We start from the raw sequence: 23,032 nt of genomic DNA, 5'->3' as shown, positions 1-23,032 counted from the left end.
TGCATCTGGAGACCCAGTGGGGAGCTAATGTTGCAGGTTGAGGGCCGTGGAGCTGGAGACCTGGGCGGGGAGCTGATGTTCCAGTTTGAAGGCCGTGAAGCTGGAGACCTGGCGGGGAGCTAATGTTGCAGTTTGAGGGCCGTGGAGCTGGAGACCCGGGGGGGAGCTGATGTTGCAGTTTGAGGGCCATGCAGCTGGATACCTGGCTGGGAGCTGATATTGCAGTTTGAGGGCCATGCAGCTGGATACCTGGCTGGGAGCTAATGTTGCAGTTTGAGGGCTGTGCACCTGGAGCCCCGGGGTGGAGCTGATATTCCAGTTTGAGGGCTGTGCAGCTGGAGATCTGATGGGAGCTGATGTTCCAGTTTGCAGGCCGTGCATCTGGAGACCTGGTGGGGAGTTGATGTTCCAGTTTGAGGGCCATGCATCTGGAGACCCGGTGGGGAGCTGATGTTGCAGGTTGAGGGCCGTGGAGCTGGAGACCTGGGCGGGGAGCTGATGTTCCAGTTTGAGGGCCGTGAAGCTGGAGACCCGGCGGGGAACTGATGTTGCAGTTTGAGGGCCATGCAGCTGGATACCCGGCTGGGAGCTGATGTTGCAGTTTGAGGGCTGTGCACCTGGAGCCCCAGGGTGGAGCTGATATTCCAGTTTGAGGGCCGTGCAGCTGGAGATCTGGTGGGGAGCTGATGTTCCAATTTGAGGGCCATGCAGCTGGAGACCCGGCGGGGAGCTCATGTTCCAGTTTGCAGGCCATGCAGCTGGAGACCCAGCGGGGAGCTGATGTTCCAGTTTGAGGGCCGTGCAGCTGGAGATCTGGTGGGGAGCTGATGTTCCAGTTTGAGGGCCCTGCAGCTGGAGACCCGTGGGGATCTGATGTTCCAGTTTGAGGATGGTGCAACTGGAGACCCGGGCGGGAGCTGATGTTCTAGTTTTAGGGCCGTGCAGCTGGAGACCCGGGGAGGAGCTGACGTTCCCGTTCGAGGGCTGTGCAGGTGGAGACCTGGAGAGGAGCTGATGTTGTTCTAATTTGAGTGTGGTGCAGCTGGAGATCCAGGGATGAGATGGTCCTGCAGTTCAAATATGAGGGTCCCGGAGCTGGAATCTGGGTGAGGAGCCAATGCTGCCTCTGATGTCTTAGGTTGTGGAGCTGGAAACTCGTGGAGGAGCTGGTATTGGTGTTTCTAGTTGTGGGTCGTGGTATTTCCAGGGTTTCACAAAGGCCAGATTTTATTTCAGTTACTCAGAAGCGAAAGAAAATGTCTTCTGAAAGAGGTGAACTCAATCATTACCAATAGAAAAAGTATCCACTGTATTCATCTCTTATAGAAACAGAAAAATATAACATTTCCCCCCTTAGAATATAACTTAATGTTCCATTGTATGTAGCTGAACAATAACATCTGGAAACCAGCATGAAACCCTATTATTCACATGTTAAAATGTTGAAACTATGACCAAAATATGAAAACTGCTAGAGCTATCAGAAAGAGACAAGACAAAAACCTTCTTGCATATGTATAAACTAAATGTGACAATCTCAAAAAACTTTTCAACATTATGATTACCTTCCAGTTTAAAAACCTTAATCCTAAATTTAAAAAAAAATCTATACACAAACCACTGATTTGCCCAGACCAAAAGAAAGAAAGAAAGAAAGATCAGCGGTAAGGTAAGCAGGACCCAGAGGAGCTGATATTCACAGTTCTTACATGTACAACTCTTCCAGGAATTATCCATAAAGTACTTTATTTTACAACCTGCTTTTCTTGTAAAACTAAAGGTCCACTTTTTTACATAAAAGTTTTATACGGCGTTAAAACCAGAACTGTACGTAAAATACTGCATCTAAATGTTTCTAAATAATCTTGTTCCATTGGTTCATCGGTGACTTCTGTGGCTTCGTCATCATTTTCCATGGATGATTCTGAAAGAATCTCTCCAGTTTTACTGGAATTGGATCCTACTAATTCTTCTGTTTCACGGCAGTCAGAAGAACCACTACTTTCAGGGCCTTCGTTTTCATTACCTTCGGAATGTAGTAAATCTTTCTCAGCTTGAGACACATCAGATTCCTCCATTTGATTATTTTCCTCAGAAGTCTCTTCATTCACAGTTGAGGCATCAGATTCTTTTTCTTGATTTTTTCTTTCCGGGATCATTTCTCTTGATATCATAAAAGACTCTAAAAATAAGCAAATGTTGTTGTACTTAAATTTTATTTTCAAAATACCTCCACAGTTAAGTTTCATGAATTCTGATGTTCTGTAGTTCAAATCACATCCCCTGAAATTCAGCAACAACTACATACAGGTGGGAGAAAAGCCCAATGTCGGCATTACAAGGAGTTCTATTATGTACAATTCTTTCACGAAAGCAATGAATACAAGAATTTGAGGATCTTCTTACTCCTCCCTTTTACAGATGGTCTCTCAATATATTCTTCTTCCTCTTCATCCTCTTCTTCATCCTCTTCTGTACGTGCTGCCGGGTACAACGGCTTTCTTTGTCTTTATCCTGAGATGAAGGTGATGCTTCTGTTTCTTCTACCATAACCGAAGAAATTTCGCTGCAAGTCGCTTGAATGGCTGTTTCTCTGACTTCGCCTTTTTTGTCAAACGTGAGTCTTTTTACCTCATGCCCCTCAGCTTCCACAGCATCTTCATCTGGATGTTTATTTTTCAGAGGGCTCACTGAGCAAACTTCTGATTCAGATGTCGAAGAGTCACTGTGATTTTTCTCTTCATTTTGCTGCAAATTTACCTCTTTGCTGTCTGTGCTGTCAGGCGACCCATTTGTTGTCATGGGGGCTGACAAAGAAACCTTTGGTCGATTACGTGGCCTGGGTGTCCCAGGCCCATTTATATTAGACCTCTCAGTATAGCTTGGTGAATTTCCAGGAAACATAACACCATTCATTCGATTTAAACTATTGGAATTGTTTTTCTCTGAAGAAGGATAAACACAGCTAACAACCATCACATGCTTTTCTACTCCTCTGAGAAATTTGTCTGTTCCTGTATAGTTTCTCCTTGGATCTGTTAACAATTCAATAGTCGCTGAATAGTAAAAGGGATACGGTTAAATCCAGTGACAGTTTTCAGTATTCTTTCCTTTGTTTCATCAAAGGAAATATATTCGACATTAGGGTTGGGAGGACCTCTTGGCGCAGGAGCTGAAGTTCTGAAATCATCCATCACTTTCTCCAGTTTGAAAATAAAATAGCCTTTAAATTGGGACCACTGAATCTGTTTCTCCAGTCTTGGCTGTATGACAAAGAAACTGATCCAGGACAGGACAAACTTCCTTTTTCCCCTCTTCTCAAAATCTTTCAGCGCCTCCTGGAGCCTCTCGACGTCCATAGCTTCCCGGAGTCCCTCACAGCCTCTGCCTTCCTCCGCGGGTCTCTTGGGGACCAGAATGCCTTCCCTCACCCCCCGACGTCCTCCCACTCCCTCGCACACACTCCCGCATGCAGGCCAAGTGGGGTGGGGGGAACGAAGGGAGCCAGGGGAAGCATGTGAGAGAGTGAGACCAACAGAGCGAGCATCTCCCCAAGCCACTACCACCAACCCTCCAACATGTCGCCTGGCACGTCACCCTAAAAAGTTATTTCTTGGAGAAGCAATGGATGACAGAGATTAATCTGAGAGTTACTATTAGTGGAGAAACTTAGAACTTACCATTTTTCCTGTGAGGTTTCGGCGCTGATACTGCTATTCTGTGAGTTCTGGCAATTGAGTCCGTTCACACAGCCTGGGGATGCAGCAGGTGTCACAGAAGAACCCTGTCCCAGCTGGTCCTGCTCCACTGCCATGATGGTGTGGCCTCTGATCTCTGACCGTGTCTTGAGGGGAGACCAGGCCCTTGATCACAAGCGTATCCATGGTGAGGTTCCGTGGATGGAAGCTCATGGATGTTCCTTCCTGATGTTCATCTGCCACCTTGCTATTGAATGCATCTTGTTTATAACTGCCTTCTAAATGTTGAATAGAAATAAAGCATTTGTACAGTATGGGTAAGGTATAAAGAATATTGACACATTGGACACAGAGGACCTCCACCAAGCTTAGGGAGTAGAATCTCAAGAAACATAACTGTGGATGCTCCCTGGAGGCCCTGCCTGAGTCCCGGGTCCCTTCCCTTCTCCTGCAGAGGGAATCAGTTCCTGCTTTAGTCTTTATTATTCCCACACTTTTCTTCATAGTACGTTTCTTTCACCACGTATCTGCACATCCCTAAAAAATATGCCATTTAGTTTTTGAACTTTCTGTTTTCTTTTTGAGGCAGGGTCTTGCTCTGTTGCCTCGGCTGTAGTTTTGAACTTTGATGTAAGGAAGTTCTCCTGCGTGGCTGCTCCTGCCCTGCATGGCTCTGAGCATCTGCTCTATGTCTATTTCTGTCCTCCATTCTCTCCCTGAGACCCACCCACACTGACGTGGTTCATTTTCATTGCTGCGTGATCTCCCGTCTCCATTCTCTCCCTGAGACCCATCCACACTGACGTGGTTCATTTTCATTGCTGCGTGATCTCCCGTCTCCATTCTCTCCCTGAGACCCACCCACACTGACACGGTTCATTTTCATTGCTGCGTGATCTCCCGTCTCCATTCTCTCCCTGAGACCCACCCACACTGACATGGCTCATTTTCACTGCTGCGTGATCTCCCGTCTCCATTCTCTCCCTGAGACCCACCCACACTGACGTGGTTCATTTTCACTGCTGCGTGATCTCCCGTCTCCATTCTCTCCCTGAGACCCTCCCACACTGACACGGTTCATTTTCATTGCTGCATGATTTCCCATCGTCTGAGGGGAGCATGGGAAATGTCTTCCATCTTCCTGTGGATGAGTGTGTGGCCAGGTTGGGGCCCTGAGGACTGTGTTTTGTTGGGAACGTTCTTGGGCGTTTCTTTTGTACACAAGTGCAAGTTTCTTCTGGTCAGTAGCTTTCAAGTTTTAAAATTTCATCCCAGGTAAGAAATGTAACTTTCCTCATAACCCACAACATACATTCTTTCATATACAAGCATAACAAAATAGATTTCACAACCGTTCTTAGCAGGGCGTGGTGTTCCTGCTTCTCTCCATTCTCCCCAACACTGGCATTGATTGAGTTGTGGGTGGTGGGATTTTTGCCCGTCTGGTGGGTGTCATGTGATATCTCCCCCTGTTAGGCTGAGCCCCTGTTCATGTTTTCATTAGCCATTCCTCCACATTTCCTCTTCTGTGGAGGGCCGGTCAGCTCTTTTGCCCAGTTTCTGTTAAGTTGTTTGAATTTGCAGTTTTCTTGTATTATTCCTATTGTTATGTTTTTGAGACAGAGTCTCACTCTGTTGCCCAGGCTGGAGTGCAGTGGCACGATCTCAGCTCACTGCAACCTCCACCTTCTGGGTTCAAGTGATTCTCCTGCCTCAACCTCCCAAGTAGCTGGGATTACAGGTGCCCGCCACCATGCCCAGCTAATTTTTATATTTTTACCAGAGATGGGGTTTCACCATGTTGTCCAGGCTGGTCTGAAACTCCTGACCTCAGGTGATTCTCCAGCCTCAGCCTCCCAAAGTGCTAGGATTACAGGCGTGAGCCACCATGCCTGGCCTGCCTTTTTCTTTTTCAAAAGGACTCTTTCTAGATTATACCTATTCATTGTGGTGACTATCTGTGTGGCAAAGATGGGTTTGAATCCACCAGGATGAATGTGCAGGGTCTCCTCTCTGGTGGGAGAAGAGACAGAGAGGGATAGAAGGGTACGGAGAATCAGAGCCAGAGGAGGCCGAGTCAGGCGGGGGTGGCAGGCTGCTGTGAGGACTTGGCTCCTTCTCTGAGTTGGGTGGGATTAGCAGGGGATTTAAACAGAGGAACCATGGGATCTCCCTTATGCATTTCTGCCATGGTTGGCTCAGCTGAAGGCACCTGTTGAATAAGACTTGGCCTTGGACACCCAGAGGCCCTTGGTTGAGGGTTTACCTCCTGGCATGGCCACTGACACATCCACGTTTGGCTCCCACACAGCTGGGCGGCCCCGAGACCTGCTCTGCCTGGGCTTCTCCTTGGTGGCATTTCTCAAGTTTGTCCCCTCTCAAGTCTGCACCATCTGGAAAACCAAACACCTCTCTCTCCTACAGGGAAACCCCCATCAGCACCTCCCCCTGACTCACAAAGCATCCCGTCAACATCACAGTCCCGACTTTCCCACATGGACAAGCCCACAGGACCCCCTGATGGACCAGGACAGCGCCAGCACTAAGACATGCCCTGGAACTCACAGGAAGAGCAGATCAAGAAGACGGGAACAGCACAAGGCACTGGGAGCTGCAAACACCCACGATACTGTCAGAGATGGAGAAAGGTATGACAGGAAGAGCAGATCAAGAAGACAGGAACAGCACGAGGCACTGGGAGCTGCAAACGCCCGCGATACTGTCAGAGATGGAGAAAGGTATGACAGGAAGAGCAGATCAAGAAGACGGGAACAGCACGAGGCACTGGGAGCTGCAAACGCCCACGATACTGTCAGAGATGGAGAAAGGTATGGCCATGGCTGACACAAAATGTTACTCAACATTTATCACAGGCCTAAATGGAGAACATGACGCTATAAAACCCTTAGATAAAAACACAGGAAAATTTGTATGGCCTGGGGTTGGGCGAAAAGTTCTTAGACATGACACCAAAAGCATGATTCATAAAAGATTGACAAATTAAACTTAATCATAAATTTAAAATTATAATTCTATAAAGCAATATAAAAATCTAAAGAGAATGAAACACAAACTATGGTCTAGAAAAAAGTATTTGTGAATCACACGTCTCACAACGTACTGGCACGCAGGATATGTGAAGAACCACCAAAACTTAACCATAAGAAAGTAAAAACCCCAGTATTAAAGAGAGGGCAGATATTTGAATGGAGAATCAAAGAAGGTATAAGGAGGGCATATTGCCCGAGAAAGAGGCTCAACATCATAGAGATGCTGGAGAAATGCCAGTCAACAGTACCTCTGCAAATCTATTAAAATGGCTAAAAACAGACAAAAACCACAGGCCGACCCAGGTTCTAGTGATGATGCCGAGGAACTGGGACCCTCATAAGCTGCAGTGGGAATGGGACGGGTCCCGCCATGCTGGAAAGTGGTCCGGGAGTTTCTTATGAAGTTAAGCACATCTTTACCCTGTCATCCAGCAACCCCGCTCCTGAAACGTCCCCCAAGAGAAAACTTAAACATGCATGCACAAACCTGCACACAAGTGTTTAGGCCTCATTCCTCATTGCCAATAACTGGAAGAAAACAAAATGTCCATCGGCAGGAGGAGGCGGGAACCAACGCGGATGCTTCCACACAGGGGGCACCAACCAGCAGTGGAAGGATGCACCCAAATGCCCCAGGTCTCCCAGGCCATATGCCCGGTGAAGGAAGCTAGTTTCGGTGCGCACAGGCCGAGGGATGCCGCCGCATGACATCTTGGAGAAGACAGTGCTACCGTGTTGGGGAGCAGGGCAGTGGTTTCGAGGGGCTATGGGTGGAGGGGCGAATGGAGGAGCTCTCTGGGGCAGTGGTGTGAGCACCTGCACCTCACTGTGGGCTGCTGCGGCTGAGAGGCTGTACAGCAAACACTGGCTTCAGTACACGCAGACTGAAGGTGGAAGGCTTCCGCAAGTCAAAGACAGAGGGTGTCACCTCCATGAAACAAAAACATTAAAAAAAAACTCTTAAAATTAAGAAAAAAACCACAAAAAGTATTTCATAAGCCCGTTGGACTTTGAGTTGACATCATCTACCTGGGAGCATGGAACTGAAACCACAGGCTTGGCAATCCCAGAGGGAGAGAGTGGAGGGTTTAGACCTCCATTGAAGGGCTCAGTACCTGGCTATAGGAAATAACATTTAAAAAGTGGCAGGGTGGAAATAATTTCTGCTGATGAGGTTGCATTTCTCCAGATAACCGGCAGAGTAAATTAAAGCAATATAGTAAAACAATGCACATCTTGATGGAATCTCAGGATCACAAGGTTGTGGTGAAGGAAATTTGAAGATGTCCAGGAAAGAAAGACAAATGAGATGAATCTTGCAGCTGCCCTTCAAGGGGGCATGGGCCGGGTGGCCATGATTCTCCGTGATGTTGCAGGAATTCTGGCTGGGTCCTCAGGAGCCTTTTTTTCTTGTCCACATTCACCTTCGGTGGGTGGTCCCTGGTGGTCATGACCGCACTCAGGGCCCGGGGCCTGCTGAGGCTGCTCTCCCTGTTCCCGGAATGCAGGGGTTTGTTCCAGATCCCGCTGCTCTCCACACAGAAAGCCAATCACTAAGACGATAGTTACTGCCAATGAAGAAGGCGTGCATCAGAAGCTACAGGCCAGGAGATGGGAGGTCAGCTTCAAATCCATCTTCCTGACTGACTATATAGCAGGGAAGAAGTGTGACTGTGTGTAAGGAAAACAGGAATTAGGGAGAGTGAGGAAGAGGAGTTGGTCAGGAGGAGGCAGGTGGCTGGTCAGGCACTCATGATGGGTGAGGGGTTTGGCATCTCACTGTCCAGATGGCGTGATCTGGTGAGTCTCTCTTCCTTCACACTACCCGGGAGGCCTGATGGTCAGTTTCCTAAGAAAGGAACTCAAATAAGACAAATGTCACTTTCTCAAGTTTCAAGACAACAAGGCTCCATTTCTGTGTTATTCAGAGAAACCATGAACATCAGTTCTATGGGACAGTCAGGCCAGTTCAACACCAGATCTGATCTGCCATGACACCTGCTGCTCGGCCCTCAGATAAAGCCCAGAATCCAGTGTCCTCTCCCCCACCCCAGCCTGGCCCCACACCCACACCTCCCCACTTCACCCTGGGCCTCTGCTCTCTCGCCACAGAGGGGTCAGGGAGCTGCTCACGCCCCGCGTGCACCTGGGCACGTGGCATATTTCAGATGCACCTGGTGTCACTGTTTGCACAGACCTAAGTGGGAAGAGATCCAAATGCTTGTTCACTGCAGGTGGATGAGGACATCCCAGTGGATGTCAGTGGAGTCAGCCAGCGCAAGGCGAGTGAGGGACCCCCAGAAACATGAATGGGTCTCAGATAGTGTGTGAGTGGATGAAGCAGCAAAAACACACGCTGCTAATTAATTGATTTATGTCTAGCTCAAAGTAGTCCATATCAAAAAGACTGTTTGGGGCTGCAGGAATTCAGTGGATAATTGCAGGCAACGCAAGGGAAGGTGGACCAGAAAGGTGAGGAGGATGCTCCCTTCGAGGGTGGAGAGAGTAAGACTGGCATTGCACATGGGTGGGGGGGCCCGTCGAGGCCCCTCTTTGCTTCTGAGAGTCTGTTTTCATCGACAGTCTTCTACTAAATGTACATAGCAGCTTTTCAGGGCAAGGGTCACCGGGATTCATCTTTATGCCTCCCCAGCCCGGGAGCCACCACCTCCACCAGACCCATCCACACAGTTGAATCTCATCTCAAGTTCTCTGGTGCCCGACCCCCCACGCACACCGTGCTGGTCTGGGCATCTCACCTGCATCCGCACAAGTGCCTCAGGAGGGTGGAGTGTCTGGTGCTCGGCATTGGAGGCTCAGCCCACACTGTGCCGGGCAGTCGCAGGCCTCCCAGATGAATGAAGCATGAGTGAATCCCGATCCTGTTATCACAGCTTCTCCCTACGCATCCCAGGCAGAATGTTGTGCAAAAACCACACCAGGATTCGTACATGCCAGAGGACTGAACTTCTGCGTGTTGCAGATAATTCATCTTCCTGAATCACTGCGGATCTACCATGGTGGTTAACCACAGAATAAACATAGGGGAGAGCGTAAGCGCTGTCCTAACAGAAACTTATGCTTCTTCCGTTACCCTTTAAAAGTAAAGGGTACTGATTTCATAATTGTGTTTCTCTTGTAAATGAGACTCTCATGGAAAAATCAGCCATGTAGGCGATAGATTTGTATACCTTTAGATTAAAATGTCACTTCGATTATTTCAAGTGTAAAAGTGTTTCAGCTTTTTTGAGGTATAATTGATACTCAAAGAGCTGCACGCATTTCATGTGTGCACTTTGGTGAGACTTGACCTGAGCAAACACCCATGAAACCATCACCAAATCAAAGCAATCGAGGAATTCCACACTTCCTGGGGGCTTCCTTGCGCCTGTGCCCGTGGTGAGAACACAGCACGAGATCTTCCCTCTCAGACAATCGCAAACGGCCCACAAGAAAATGACACCAGGCCTCCTGGTGAACACACACCCTGTGATTTAATTGTTGATCTTTTTAACCTGGGGCTCACATTCTTCATTCAGAATATGGCAAAGACTTTAGAAGTCATTCAAAGTATCAGTAATTTGAAGTCCTTTAATACAAAAAGTATAGAATATGACCTTTTGTCACATAGCAATAGGGAAATGAAAAAAGAAAATCGACATGTTCTTTAATGGCTAGGAAAATATTCTTAAAAAGATATCTCAAGTGCAGGCGAATCTAACAAATGACAAATTTATTTCTTTACATAGACAAATGTACGGTTACATCCATGTAAATAAATGAAGCCATTAAGGGTAGAGTCCCACAGATCACAGCGTCCAGCTCTGCTATCGATATCAGGGAGTAATTTCCAGGCACACAGAACTGACCCAGCATCCAGCTCTGCTCATGATTTCAGGGAGTAATTCCCAGGCACGGGTCCAGCTGGAGAAGCTGGGGGCCCCCATAGCCCCACTGTCCTTCCTGCCTCATGGGGTCTCTGAGAAGTGCCTGGAACATTTCCTCTTGGGCTTTGAATATCATTTCACTTAAACACGACATTTTCCAGGTGCCGTGGACCTGAGCCCAGAAACTTCACGGTACCAGGACCACCCGAGACAGTGGCTCCCCAGGAGTGAGCACCAGGCACTGTCAGGGGTTCTCTCCCCAGCACATTTACAAGGACTTGATGGGTTCTTCTTCCTTCAGAGCAATCCCAGTGGGAAGAAGGAGGGGACGGGAGGCCTGGCAAACGCTCTTCCCCAGCTCCGTTCCAAGCTCTGTGGGGCTCCGGCAGGCCCCATGTCATGTGCAGATGAGGGATTAGGGTTCCGCCCGGCCTCGCTGCTCTCAGGCCCTCATGGGCTCCTCTCCCCACCCCCGTGCAGCCAGCGGACCCTGCCCCCCACCCAGCTGCTCCCCCCTAGCTGCTCCCCCCCAGCTGCTCCCCCCAGCTGCTCCAACTCAGCTGCTCACACCCAGCTGCTCCCCCTCAGCTGCTCCCACCCAGCTACTCCCCCCAGCTGCTCCCCCCTAGCTGCTCCCACCCAGCTGCTCCCACCCAGCTGCTCCCCCCTAGCTGCTCCCACCCAGCTGCTCCCCCCAGCTGCTCCCCCTCAGCTGCTCCCCCCCAGCTACTCCCCCCAGCTGCTCCCACCCAGCTGCTCCCACCCAGCTGTTCCCACCCAGCTGCTCCCACCCAGCTGCTCCCCCCAGCTGTTCTCCCCCAGCTGCTCCCCCCCAGCTGCTCCCACCCAGCTGTTCTCAGGTTTCTCATCCTTCCTGGATGACGCCCTACCTGGGGCACCCGTTCCTGTGGCATCCCCAGTCCTGCACTGCAGCACTCACCCTGTCACCTCCATGGCGAGACCATCTTGGAACCATGATCAGCCCATCGGGTTTCATCCATTATCCTCCTAGCCCATTTTCTGTGCTGATTTCTCATTCCCAAAACATCTTGGAATTACAAGAAATTAACTTTTTTCAAGGTCTCTGTGCTTCTGAAGTAGGTTTGCCTTAATATAACATTGATGTATTTTTAAGGGGCATTTTTAAAGCTGTACTTTAAGAAATAATTTTTATATTCTTTTGAAGGTTTTTTTTTTCTTTAAGATGGAGTCTCACTCTGTCGCCCAGGCTGGAGTGCAATGGCGCAATCTTGGCTCACTGCAACCTCCACCTCCCGGGTTCAAGCAATTCTCCTCCCTCAGCCTCCTGAGTAGCTGGGATTACAGGCATGCACCCCACACCTGGCTAATTTTGTATTTTCAGTAGATACGGGGTTTCACCATGTTGGTCAAGCTGGTCTCAACTCCTGACCTCATGATCCACCCACCTTGGTCTCCCAAAGTGCTGGGATTACAGGCGTGAGCCCCTGCGCCCGGCCGGTATTTTTTTTTTAATCAAATACAGTTGAGGCTCTCTTGGAGATCCCATATTAAAGAGAACTGAGAAAAATCAGACCTCAGAAGCAGGACAGTGCCCTGTGAAGTACATGTCCATTCCCATCACTGTCCTTCTCTCACATGGGCCCAGGGATGTGGGTGATGGTATTTGTTGCCCCTGGTGATGGAGCAGATTTGATCTGCCTATGTGGGAAGGGTTTAACTCAGCGGGTGTGGATTGCTCAAACCCTGCACGTTCCCAGGAGGGGCCCTTGGCTGGCTCCTGGGAGCTGAGCTCCTGCAGTGTTCTGACTGATGAGAGAGACTGGAGCCATGTTGCACTACTTTGCCTGGGTAGTTGACCAACAAGGTGATGGATGGCAAACACCTGCTTTCGCTGTGGGTGGCTGGAACTTCCCTGACTGACCCCCAGGTTCAGGAGAGCCTCCCTGGTCCGCACCACGGCACTAGCTGTCCCAGCTTCTTGCTGGAGGAATCCGGTGCACCCTGTGTGACTCCGCTGGGAGGGACTCTGGAAGCGCCTGGCTTCCCTGGCAGCCCTTTCCCTTGGCTGGTTTACTCTGTACCCTTTCAAGTTGGAGGGTGGTCTCAGGGACCCCCATGCAGTCTTTCGTGCTTTCACCAAAAACTCACCTTGGCAGGGCTTCAGGGGAAGGCTTGGGATTTGGTGACAAGTGACTCCATGGCCTTGGGCAAAGCACAGCATCTACTTAGGTTTTCAGGCGGTTGCCCAGGTATGTCTAGCACCTAATGTAACCGAGGCGTGAAATGCCTGTGCGCCATGGTGCTTCAGCTCGTTATGGGCCGTTAGGCCTTGTGGTGGTTCTCTCTTGGTTTCTGTGGAGAAGCCAGACCCCGCTGTGGTTGGCAAGGAAGGCGAGTGGAGACATCAGGAGTGTCCATCCCTCAGCGGCCCTTTCTGGTGGGGTGGCTGCCTCTCTCTCATCCTTGATTAATCCCGGGACAACCTCTGCTCTCCTGGGCAATCCTTAGAATACTCCGGAAGACCCCAGTATGGCCGTCCGGTTCCTCCTGGGCCCCAGCTCTCAGGAATGCACCATCTGGGCACACTCCATGCGTGCCCGTCCAGATGGCACCTGAGCTTCCCTGTGCCTGTGCTGTGGCATTAACATCTCGCTTGTGTTTTAACCTGTGTTGCTTTGGTTTAAAACTTGTTTGACCGTGTTATTTGCTGAGATGGCCCAGAGAAGCTTCTACTTATGATCAGGACACGTCACAGTGCAGCCTTCACTTGAGGACTTAGGTCTCATCCAGCTCCACACAGTCAGTCCAGGGCCACGGACGCAGAAGACAGAGGAGAAGAAGCTCATGGCATAAAGACAGAGGATTGATTGCCCAGGAGGCTTCCAGGGGCTTTGGCTCCTGGGGCTTCTTGTCAGCGCTGGGTCAGAGCAGGTCACCCTTGTGTGCAGACACTAGGTTGCTGCACACAGCGGTGAAGAATGGGGGAGACCAGATGGAATTGGGTGAGGCAGGGATGCTCCTTGGTGTTTAGAGTTTTCCTCTTTCTTTGCCTTGTGGGTTCTCTGTAGCCCATCTTTGCTTTTTGTAACACTAGTTTTCAGTAATTCCGACCTTTCCGAATACCTCTATGTACATATACCTGTCTACTCTCCTTTCAGATACCTGTAAAGCCTACAGAAAGGTAATCCTGCAGATTATCACTCTATTCAGCTTAACAGATGCTCGTCGAGTGCTGCTGTGTGTGTGGGCCTCAGGTTCAGGTGCACCTGCCTTTGTGGGAAGAGCACAGCTTCCCTGCATAACTGCTGGAGGGTGGGTCGTGGAGTGCTGCTCTGTGTGTGTGTATGCCTCGAGTTCAGGTGCACCTGCCTTTGTGGGGAGAGCACAGCTTCCCTGCATAACTGCTGGAGGGCGGGTCATCGAGTGCTGCTGTGTGTATGGGCCGCGGGTTCAGGTGCACCTGCCTTTGTGGGGAGAGCACCTGCTTTTGTGGGGAGAGCACAGCTTCCCTGCATAACTGCTGGAGGGCGGGTCATCCAGTGCTGCTGTGTGTGTATGCCTCGGGTTCAGGTGCACCTGCCTTTGTGGGAAGAGCACAGCTTCCCTGCAAAACTGCTGGAGGGTGGGATCTTCCCAAGGGGAAGTTGGGAGGTGCTCAGGCAGAGCAAATGGATTTAACTTCTGGGCTGGGAGAACGTGGTACCCCCGTGAAAGTCTCCCTGAGGAAGGAAAGGAAGGAGCTGGAGGGAGGGTGTGTGTGTCTTAGAAGGGGACGCACTTCAGGTGAGAGCGGGCATGGCACTAGGAAGAGCCCCATGAGCCCAGAGTGGTGGCACGTAGAGGCCTAAGGGACCGTGCCAGCAGACCCCACTGCCCGTGCTCCACCAGGAGCCTGACATTGTTCTCTGAGATCAGGGGGCTGTCTCTGTGTGCTGCCCAGGACTGTGGCATTTTTGTGTATATTAAAAAAAAAAAAAACTGTGTGTCTAATACAGATGGGGTATGAGGAGAGCCACTGGTCTCTCCTGACCTTAAAAATATTTTTTTAGTTCATTTTTGGTGAGTATGGAAATTACTGAAGGTACAAATCACTCTGAAGATAGGTTCTTGTGTGTGAAGGTCATCAGTGAATCTTCATCCTCATAGTTGATAAATGGTTGTGAGTACTCAAGGGTATCAGATTCAACGATGAGTCTGAGGATAGTAGAGCTTTCCTATTCAGTTTCAAGGAAAATTGTATAAAGCGCAGACCGTAATTTGTCAGGAATTTTTGAAGTGTGGTGTGATGGATGTCTTCACCGTGCTTTAGGATGATTACTGAGGGAGAATGGAAGGAAGGGGTCTGGTACTTGCACCTTTCAGTAGAATTAGTGTGAATGCCACAGCGACCAAGCTATGCTCAGGTGTCTGCAGGCAGTGGTGGCCTTGATGATGGATTTTCTGAAATGGGAATTCGTGAAGTTCTCTAACAAAACTAAGTGCGAACTTCTCAACTTAGCTGGTGACTGCATCCTTGAAAAATTCCGTGTGTAAAATGATACAGAACCATTTCTTGGTTATCTGTTAAATAAGAGTGCATGTCCAGCCGCGATGACTGTGGACAGCCTTGGAGGTCTGGGAGGCCACAAAGGACTCCCACACACAGCAGGGTGTGAACCCACCAGGCAGTGCTTTGGCCCCCTCCCAGGAGTCATGGCAGCCGACACGTCACCTGGAGTGTCTAGAAAACCACTACCCTAGAGCCCCCACTGCTTTTCCTGGTGCCTCCAGGTATAGATCACAAACTCAGTGTCCCAGAAAGATTTTCCTTTTACTTTAACTCCTGTTGTTGTTTGTTTTCAGGCACGTGGACTCCCTTTAATCCAGTGACTGTCAGGTCGATCATATGTAAGTATCGGCAGACGGACCAACCTGGGCTGCTTTGTATCCGACCCGCTTGGGTACCCGCTTGTGTTTCCTTTGTCTGTGGGTCCGTATCACTTTGCTCCCTTCTGGAATTCCACTTAGATGAGCGTCGGCCCTTTCATCCCTCTCCCCCCGTCTCTGTACCTTTTCACGTCTCTCCGTGTATGTTTGCTCTATTCTTGATTCTGTTTATTTTTAATGTACGGTGTAACCTGTCCTTTCAGTTTCTAATTCTAAAGATGACATATATTTAAAATTTCTAAATTATTAGTTACTTTCACATCTTATCTGGGTGTTTTTGATAGACATTGCTTATTTATTTTTGTGATTCCATTCTTTATTCAAATATTTCATATGATAGTCTTCAGTTTTAAGAACATGCTTTTTTGAAAAGCGCTAGATATTTGTGACGTGGAGTTCCTTGACTGTGTTTGAAGTCCTTGGGAGGGTGGTCTACAGCCAAATATTTTTCCTGCTCAAGCCCACACAGAGTGACCAACTTCCTTGATGCTTCTGTAATTTTTGTTTGTTTTGTGGGTTCATGTGTAGCCTTAATGTGAGGGTCTGCATCATTTCTTTGGGTCCAGGGTCTCCCCAGCTGTATAGGCAGCTGGGTTTTTGTTTGTTTCTTTTAAGAGACAGGGTGTCCCTGTGTTGCCCAGGCCTGGTCTGGAATTCCTGGGCTCACGCAATCCTCCTGCCTCAGCCTCCCAAAAAGTGGGGATTACAGGTGTGCACCCCCATGCCCAGACGGTAGCCGGGGTGTGAGCTGAGGCTCCAGGCGCAGGCAGGTGTTCAGGAGAGTCGTGCTGTGTCTCCATCCCCCGTAGCCAGGTGGAGCTGCAGCTCCAGGGGCAGGCAGGCCTGGGAGGCAGGTGTTGAGGAGAGTCGGGTTTCCATCCCCGCCCCACTTGATTTCTGAAAGGCTTCCTTTGCTGGGAGGTGTGGCCCCCTTCAGGCCTCTTTAATATGGAATCCCGGGTTCAGTTCTGCCTCACAGGGACCATGGCATTGTGTCTCAAGGTTTCCCAGAGCAGCCTGGGGCTCGTTCCCTCACCTCCCATCCATGCATGTGTTTTAGACTTGTGAGGATTCCCTGAGTTCCTTGTGGAGCCCGTGTGTGGTAAGGTGTCTGAGTTGACGATTTTTAAAAAATCTATGCCTTATTTGTGCAATAAAATACACAATGAATAATTAATGCTCATAGTAAAACATGTTAGACCTCGTGAAAGGAAAATCAATCTTGGGGACCCAAAATCACTAAGCTAAAGGGAAAAGTCAAGCTGGGAGCTGCTGAGGGCAAACCTGCCTCCAATTGTATCCAAAGTCACCTGTCTGCTCACCGAGATAAATGCGTATCTGAGTGCCTCATCTGGAGAGGGTAATCAGCAACTCAAAAGAATGAAACCATTTGTCTCTTACCTACCTATGACCTGGAAGCCCCCTGTCTGGCCTTCTCACCTTTCTGACTGACTGAACCAATGCACATCTTTCACATATTGATTGATGCCTCACGTCTCCCTAAAGTGTATAAAACCAAGCTGTGCCCTGACCACCTTGGGCCCATGTCGTCAGGACCTCCTGAGGAGGCATCCCGGGTGCACATCCTCAAACTTGGCAAAATAAACTTTCTAAAAAATCTGAGACCTGTCTCAGATTTTCGGGGTTCACACATGTAGGATGTCAATGTTTATAAAACAGACATTATTCTATCTACTATTACAAATACACTGCCAATTAACCTTAGACTTTCTCAACAAGTAATGTTGATGAGGTACAAATAATATATTTAAACTTAATGTTGCAAGATTTAATATGCCTAGTTTTCAACAGTTTTGACTAACACTAAGAAAAATAAGTAATGAAAACATGAATAAAAGTGTTTACAGGGGGTGCACATGTTTCCTCCAGCCTCTGCTAGGGTATCTTGACCGCATCCTGGCAGATGTCTTGGCTGTGACACTGCACTATCATTTTGCAGATGCTTCCATTGGGGAAAGCTAGGTAGAGGGTACATGGGCTCTCTGTATTGCTGATGACAACTGCATAAGACTTACATGACCCCAAAATAAAATGGTTAAGTAAAAGAAACTGAGTTGGGCCCAGTGAACTCAACCAGTCCCTTTCACCTCTAAAACTATGTTTTCTAGGTCAGGGGAGGAAACAGGAGGTACAGGAACGCTAGAGGGGAGAAAGCACGGAGAGATGGGAAAAGCACGGAGAGAGAGACGGGGAAAGGGCAATCAGGAAGACCGAGAGAAAAGGGGGAAAGCAGAATGACAGAGGAGGTGTGAAGAGAGAGAAGCCCTCTGGAGTGCTGAAATACTGAATATTCTCCCCTGGGAGCTACTCAGGGTAAGAATTTCTCCAGGGACTGCTCTTTCAGGCAAGCACAATTACACACATTTCTATGTTATGTTAAGTAAAAATCTAGTAAATGGGCTGGGCACGGTGGCTCACACCTGTAATCCCAGCACTTTGGGAGGCCGAGGCAGGCAGATCACAAGGTCAGGAGATCGAGACCATCCTGGCCCATATGGTGAAACCCCGCCTCTACTAAAAATACAAAAATTAGCTGGGCGTGGTGGTGGGTGCCTGTAATCCCAGCTACTCGGGAGGCTGAGGCAGGAGAATCACTTGAACCAGAGAGTTGGAGGTTGTAGCAAGCCGAGATCGCGCCACTGCACTCCAGCCTGGCAACAGGGCAAGACTGTCTCAAAAAAAAAAAAAAAATAATAATAATAATAATAATACTAAATGAAGCGAGTGATCAGGACAAAACTAGCCTCTCATCAATCAATCAATAGCGCTTATCAAGTATTCATATGTCTGCCTCTTCTTCTAGACTACACTGAAGGCTGGTTACGCTCTTATGTGCAATAGAACCTCAAACACATCGTAACACACCTTTGGAGAATCCTTACAAGAACACCAAGTTAACAGTTATCTCTGACCACACTACCTCAGCAAAAAACCAGGAAGAAAAAATATTCTTCAACCCTTTTCAGGGACAGAAAGCATCATTTCAAAAGTCCAAGAAGGGAAGGTAAGAATTTCAGAAGTGAAAGTTATCATGAAAGGCTATAAAAGCTTGAGATGAGTCTGAAAAACAAATGGAAAATGAGTCACTTCAGGGCCTCTCCCAGCCTCAAAGCCAATTAATTATTACATTAGTCAGAGTAATTTTAAGCCTTCCAATCCACTCACCCTAGCCACAGGCAACAGTAGCCTCTCCAAGTGTTAAGGGTTTTTTTCCCAAGCCTGCAGGCGGATGAGCTTTTTACATGGCAGCCCCTTAGGATTGGATGTGGACCTGCCCTGTCTTTCACCAAGAAGCAAGCACTGCGCAGATCACTGAATCATAAAAACCACCTGCTCTTACCAGCCTCCTCTTCCTCTACAGCAAAACTTCTGACCTGAGACATCGAAGCAGATAAAAAGCCGCTACACAAAATGTATCGCTACAACTAGAGGGCAGTCTTGCCTTTCTTCCATTCAATTATTCAGTTTCTCATGTTCCTAAGTGCCAGCCCAGAACCATGGAATGTGAAGAAACACAAAACTCACTCCTCTGCATCAGTGAATTGATTGTGTGGTGGGGATGTAAGTCTGCATGTGACTGACAGTTCCCCAAAGTGGTGCCAAGTCAATCTAAACTAGAGAGAATTTCTGGCCAGGCCAAGCAGAGATTTCATGGATGAAGTCTCCCAAAGACTGATTTCCTAAACATTAAACATCACTGGTTTTCCAAAACTGGTTTTCTTTTTTTTTTTTTAACCCTGTTTCTCAGGCTGGAGGGCAAGTGGTGCCATCTCCACTCACTGCAGCCTCGACCTCCCAGGCTCCACTGATCTTCCCACCTCAGCCTCCTGAGTAGCTGGGACTACAGGTGTGCACCGCCACGACTCGCTAATTTTTGTATTTTTTGTAGAGACGGGGTTTTGCTGTGTTGCTCAGGCTGGTCACTCGATCTGCCCACCTGGGTCTCGCAGAGTGCTGGGGTTACAGGTATGAGCCACCACGCCCAGCCCACTGGTTTCCTTTACACCCGTTTTGTTCCCCAGCAGTCCTTATGAGGGCACCTGAAATAAGGAACCTCCTCCCCGACTTGAGAGCAGCAAAGCCTTCAGAGGGAACTAAGTTATTAAAACCCACCCCACACAAAATGCTTCTAAACGCCTTGGCTGACTTAATCCTTGCAGTGTGCTGAGGTTAAGTATGATTATCCATCTCCTGTGAACAGGAAGACTGAGGCTCAGAGCTTAAGTGATTTGCCCACGGTTCACTGCAGGGGATAAAACTCGGCTGTCCCTGGCAGGTCCCAAAGTCACGGCCTTCAGGCTCCCACACCATGCTGCCTCCCTCACCGGGGCTCCACACTCTCAGCCTGGAAAACACTAATTTTAAGAAAACCATGACTTACGAAAAGCAGCCAATCCCAGCATTGGAACCAACAGGGCATAATTCCACCTGCTTCCATCACCACCATCCGCCCTGGAATTAGGCCGGATATTCCAATTTGGGGGATCATTTAGGTTATTCATGGAGATATACCTTGAAGTAAAGAATAAAAACGTTAACTACTTTTATTCAAGAAATTTTTCTTCAGTTTTAACTATGTGCTTGCTGCACAGCACTGAGGCCCTACGGGATTCAAAGAAGAAAAAAACTAGACCAGAGCCGGGCATGGTGGCGGGCACCTGTAGTCCCAGCTACTCGGGAGGCTGAGGCAGGAGAATCGCTTGAACCTGGGAGGTGAAGGTTGCAGTGAGTCGAGGTCGCGCCACTGCACTCCAGCCTGGTGACAGAACGAGACTCCGTCTCAAAAAAAAAGAAAAAGAAAAAGGAAAAAAAAACAAGACCTTAGGTGAAAGCGACTCACAATCTGGTTGGGGAAAGTGGAGAAAACAGACATGTCTTAAGCATCTGAAGTGCAGGTAGAATCAGGTAAGTTCTCTGGTACAAATATATTTAAATGTATGGCTGCTGCGATGGTTAATTTTGTTTGTCAACTTGACGGCATCATGAGGTGCTCAGATACATGGTTAAGCATTATTTCTGGGCGTGTCTGTAAGGGTGTTTTTGGATGAGATTAGCAATTGAACCTTTAAACCAATTTCTTACGTCTCCCTTCTATTTGTTGTGTCTCTGGAGAACCCTCATACAGTTGTATCAAAGATACAGAATCAACTCAATAAAAGTGGGCTCACACCAGACACTTTCATATGAGCTAGGGTTTGAAGAGTGAGCAGCATTTTGACAGGCAGAGAAAGAAGGAAAGGGTCTTCTGATCAGAAGGAAGACTGTGAGGAAGGCAGGGAGGGGTGATGTGGGGAAGGTGCAAACAGTGCTAGAAGCTTCTGAGGCCTCCTCATGGTGGTGATGAATGCAGAGATTACAGAGCTCTCTGCTTCGGGCTCAGCATGCACCCTCCATAGCTAGGCTGGGGGCTAACGTTAGTAAGAATTTACTGATTTACTGAGTACCTACACGAAGTTTCACATTTTCACAAAGTAGAGTCACTTTAAGTTTATTTACATGTGACCTCCACAAATACACACAATTACAAAATAGTCAAGGGATGTATAATAAGCAAGAAATGCAATCCAATTTCTGAAAGCTTTTCATGGGATTTTCAACAAATACTTAATATCTAAAGATAGAAAATTATAAGCAATAAAGATATGACAAAAATATGTCTTGGAGCTTAATACTAAGGGGTTTGTGGTGTGGAGAAAAGCAAGAGAGATCAGATTGTTACTGTGTCTGTGTAGAAAGAAGTAGACATAGGAGACTCCATTTTGTTCTGTACTAAGAAAAATTCTTCTGCCTTGAGATTCTGTTAATCTATAACCTTACCCCCAACCCCGTGCTCTCTGAAACGTGTGCTGTGTCAACTCAGAGTTAAATGGATTAAGGGCGGTGCAAGATGTGCTTTGTTAAACAGATGCTTGAAGGCAGCACTCTCCTTAAGAGTCATCACCACTCCCTAATCTCAAGTACCCAGGGACACAAAAACTGCGGAAGGCCACAGGCACCTCTGCCTAGGAAAGCCAGGTATTGTCCAAGGTTTCTCCCCATGTGATAGTCTGAAATATGGCCTCGTGGGAAGGGAAAGACCTGACCGTCCCCCAGCCCGACACCCGTGAAGGGTCTGTGCTGAGGAGGATTAGTATAAGAGGAAGGCATGCCTCTTGCAGTTGAGACAAGAGGAAGGCATCTGTCTCCTGCCCGTCCCTGGGCAATGGAATGTCTCGGTATAAAACCCGATTGTATGCTCCATCTACTGAGATAGGGAAAAACCGCCTTAGGGCTGGAGGTGGGACCTGCGGGCAGCAATACTGCTTTGTAAAGCATTGAGATGTTTATGTGTATGCATATCTAAAAGCACAGCACTTAATCCTTTACATTGTCTATGATGCAAAGACCTTTGTTCACGTGTTTGTCTGCTGACCCTCTCCCCACTATTGTCTTGTGACCCTGACACATCCCGCTCTCGGAGAAACACCCACGAATGATCAATAAATACTAAGGGAACTCAGAGGCTGGCGGGATCCTCCATATGCTGAACGCTGGTTCCCCGGGTCCCCTTATTTCTTTCTCTATACTTTGTCTCTGTGTCTTTTTCTTTCCTAAGTCTCTCGTTCCACCTTACGAGAAACACCCACAGGTGTGGAGGGGCAACCCACCCCTACATGTGGTAATTATAGAATTAAAAAATTAAGGCCAGGCACGGTGGCTCACGCCTGCAATCACAGCACTTCGGGAGGCTGAGGCAGGTGGATCACCTGAGGTCAGGAGTTTGAAACCAGTCTGGCCAATATGGTGAAACCCTGTCTCTACTAAAAATACAAAAACTAGCTGGGCGTGGTGGCGGGGGCCTGTAGTCCCAGCTACTCGGGAGGCTGAGGCGAGAGAATCTCTTTGTTTTTTGAGGGGCAGTCTTGCTCTGTTGCCCAGGCTGGAGTGCAGTGGCTCGAACTCCGCTCACTGCAAGCTCCACAGGAGAATCTCTTGAACCCTGGAGGCAGAGGTTGCAGTGAGCTGAGATCGCGCCATTGCACTCCAACCTGGGCAACAACAGCAAAACTCTGTCTCAAACAAAACAAAACAAAATTAGGTAATTAACACAGGACTAAAACTGCATAACTTTCAAAAAAAAGTCTAGGAGCTATTACGTTCATTCCCTGCAAGCCAATAAAGGCCACGTCTGGGGCCTACAATCTAAGAAAATAATCCTAAAGTTATGGTCACAAATATGTTCTGTACAGTGTTATTTATTAAGAGCAAAAATGGGAAACAACCCAAATATCAATAAAATGGGACTGAACCCTTGCAAATTTACTAAAATAACTCAAAATTGTTAAACATGCACAAAACGAAGATTTTAATAATTTAAAGTGAAAAGACAGGAAACGTAATTACTAACGATTATTGGTTTATTTTTCATGCCACTTCATTCCACAAAAAGATTTCAGATATCTTACAAAAAGACACACTAGAAATATTA

The 23,032-nt window shown here is 48.2% G+C and overlaps 2 pseudogenes across 1 annotated transcript in view, besides 2 other annotated features; one reads left to right on the top strand and one right to left on the bottom strand.

Annotated features, from left to right (window-relative positions):
* The window catches only part of PDCD6P1 (PDCD6 pseudogene 1), a 36,449-nt pseudogene extending 15,811 nt beyond the window's left edge, over positions 1-20,638 (top strand). Inside the window, exons 3-4 of the transcript NR_003713.1 lie at positions 15,460-15,504; positions 18,368-20,638. The product of NR_003713.1 is annotated as a PDCD6 pseudogene 1 (transcript). The remainder of the gene's footprint in view (positions 1-15,459; positions 15,505-18,367) is intronic.
* LOC100132773 (serine/threonine-protein phosphatase 4 regulatory subunit 2-like) lies at positions 3,247-3,586 on the bottom strand (annotated as a pseudogene).
* Positions 10,360-10,859: an enhancer, noted in NCBI's record as "H3K4me1 hESC enhancer chr5:1607451-1607950 (GRCh37/hg19 assembly coordinates)". NCBI's record gives its function as "activates a minimal SCP1, AML or CMV promoter by ChIP-STARR-seq in primed H9 embryonic stem cells {active_cell/tissue: H9 hESC(primed)}" and the evidence as "EXISTENCE:reporter gene assay evidence [ECO:0000049][PMID:30033119]".
* Positions 14,138-14,639: an enhancer, noted in NCBI's record as "H3K4me1 hESC enhancer chr5:1603671-1604172 (GRCh37/hg19 assembly coordinates)". NCBI's record gives its function as "activates a minimal SCP1, AML or CMV promoter by ChIP-STARR-seq in naive H9 embryonic stem cells {active_cell/tissue: H9 hESC(naive)}" and the evidence as "EXISTENCE:reporter gene assay evidence [ECO:0000049][PMID:30033119]".
* Positions 20,639-23,032: the final 2,394 nt, after the last annotated feature.

Source organism: Homo sapiens, chromosome 5, assembly GCF_000001405.40.
Source record: "Homo sapiens chromosome 5, GRCh38.p14 Primary Assembly".
In the NCBI taxonomy this organism is placed as follows: Eukaryota; Metazoa; Chordata; class Mammalia; order Primates; family Hominidae; genus Homo; species Homo sapiens.
This window is presented reverse-complemented; position numbering and strand designations above follow the sequence as displayed.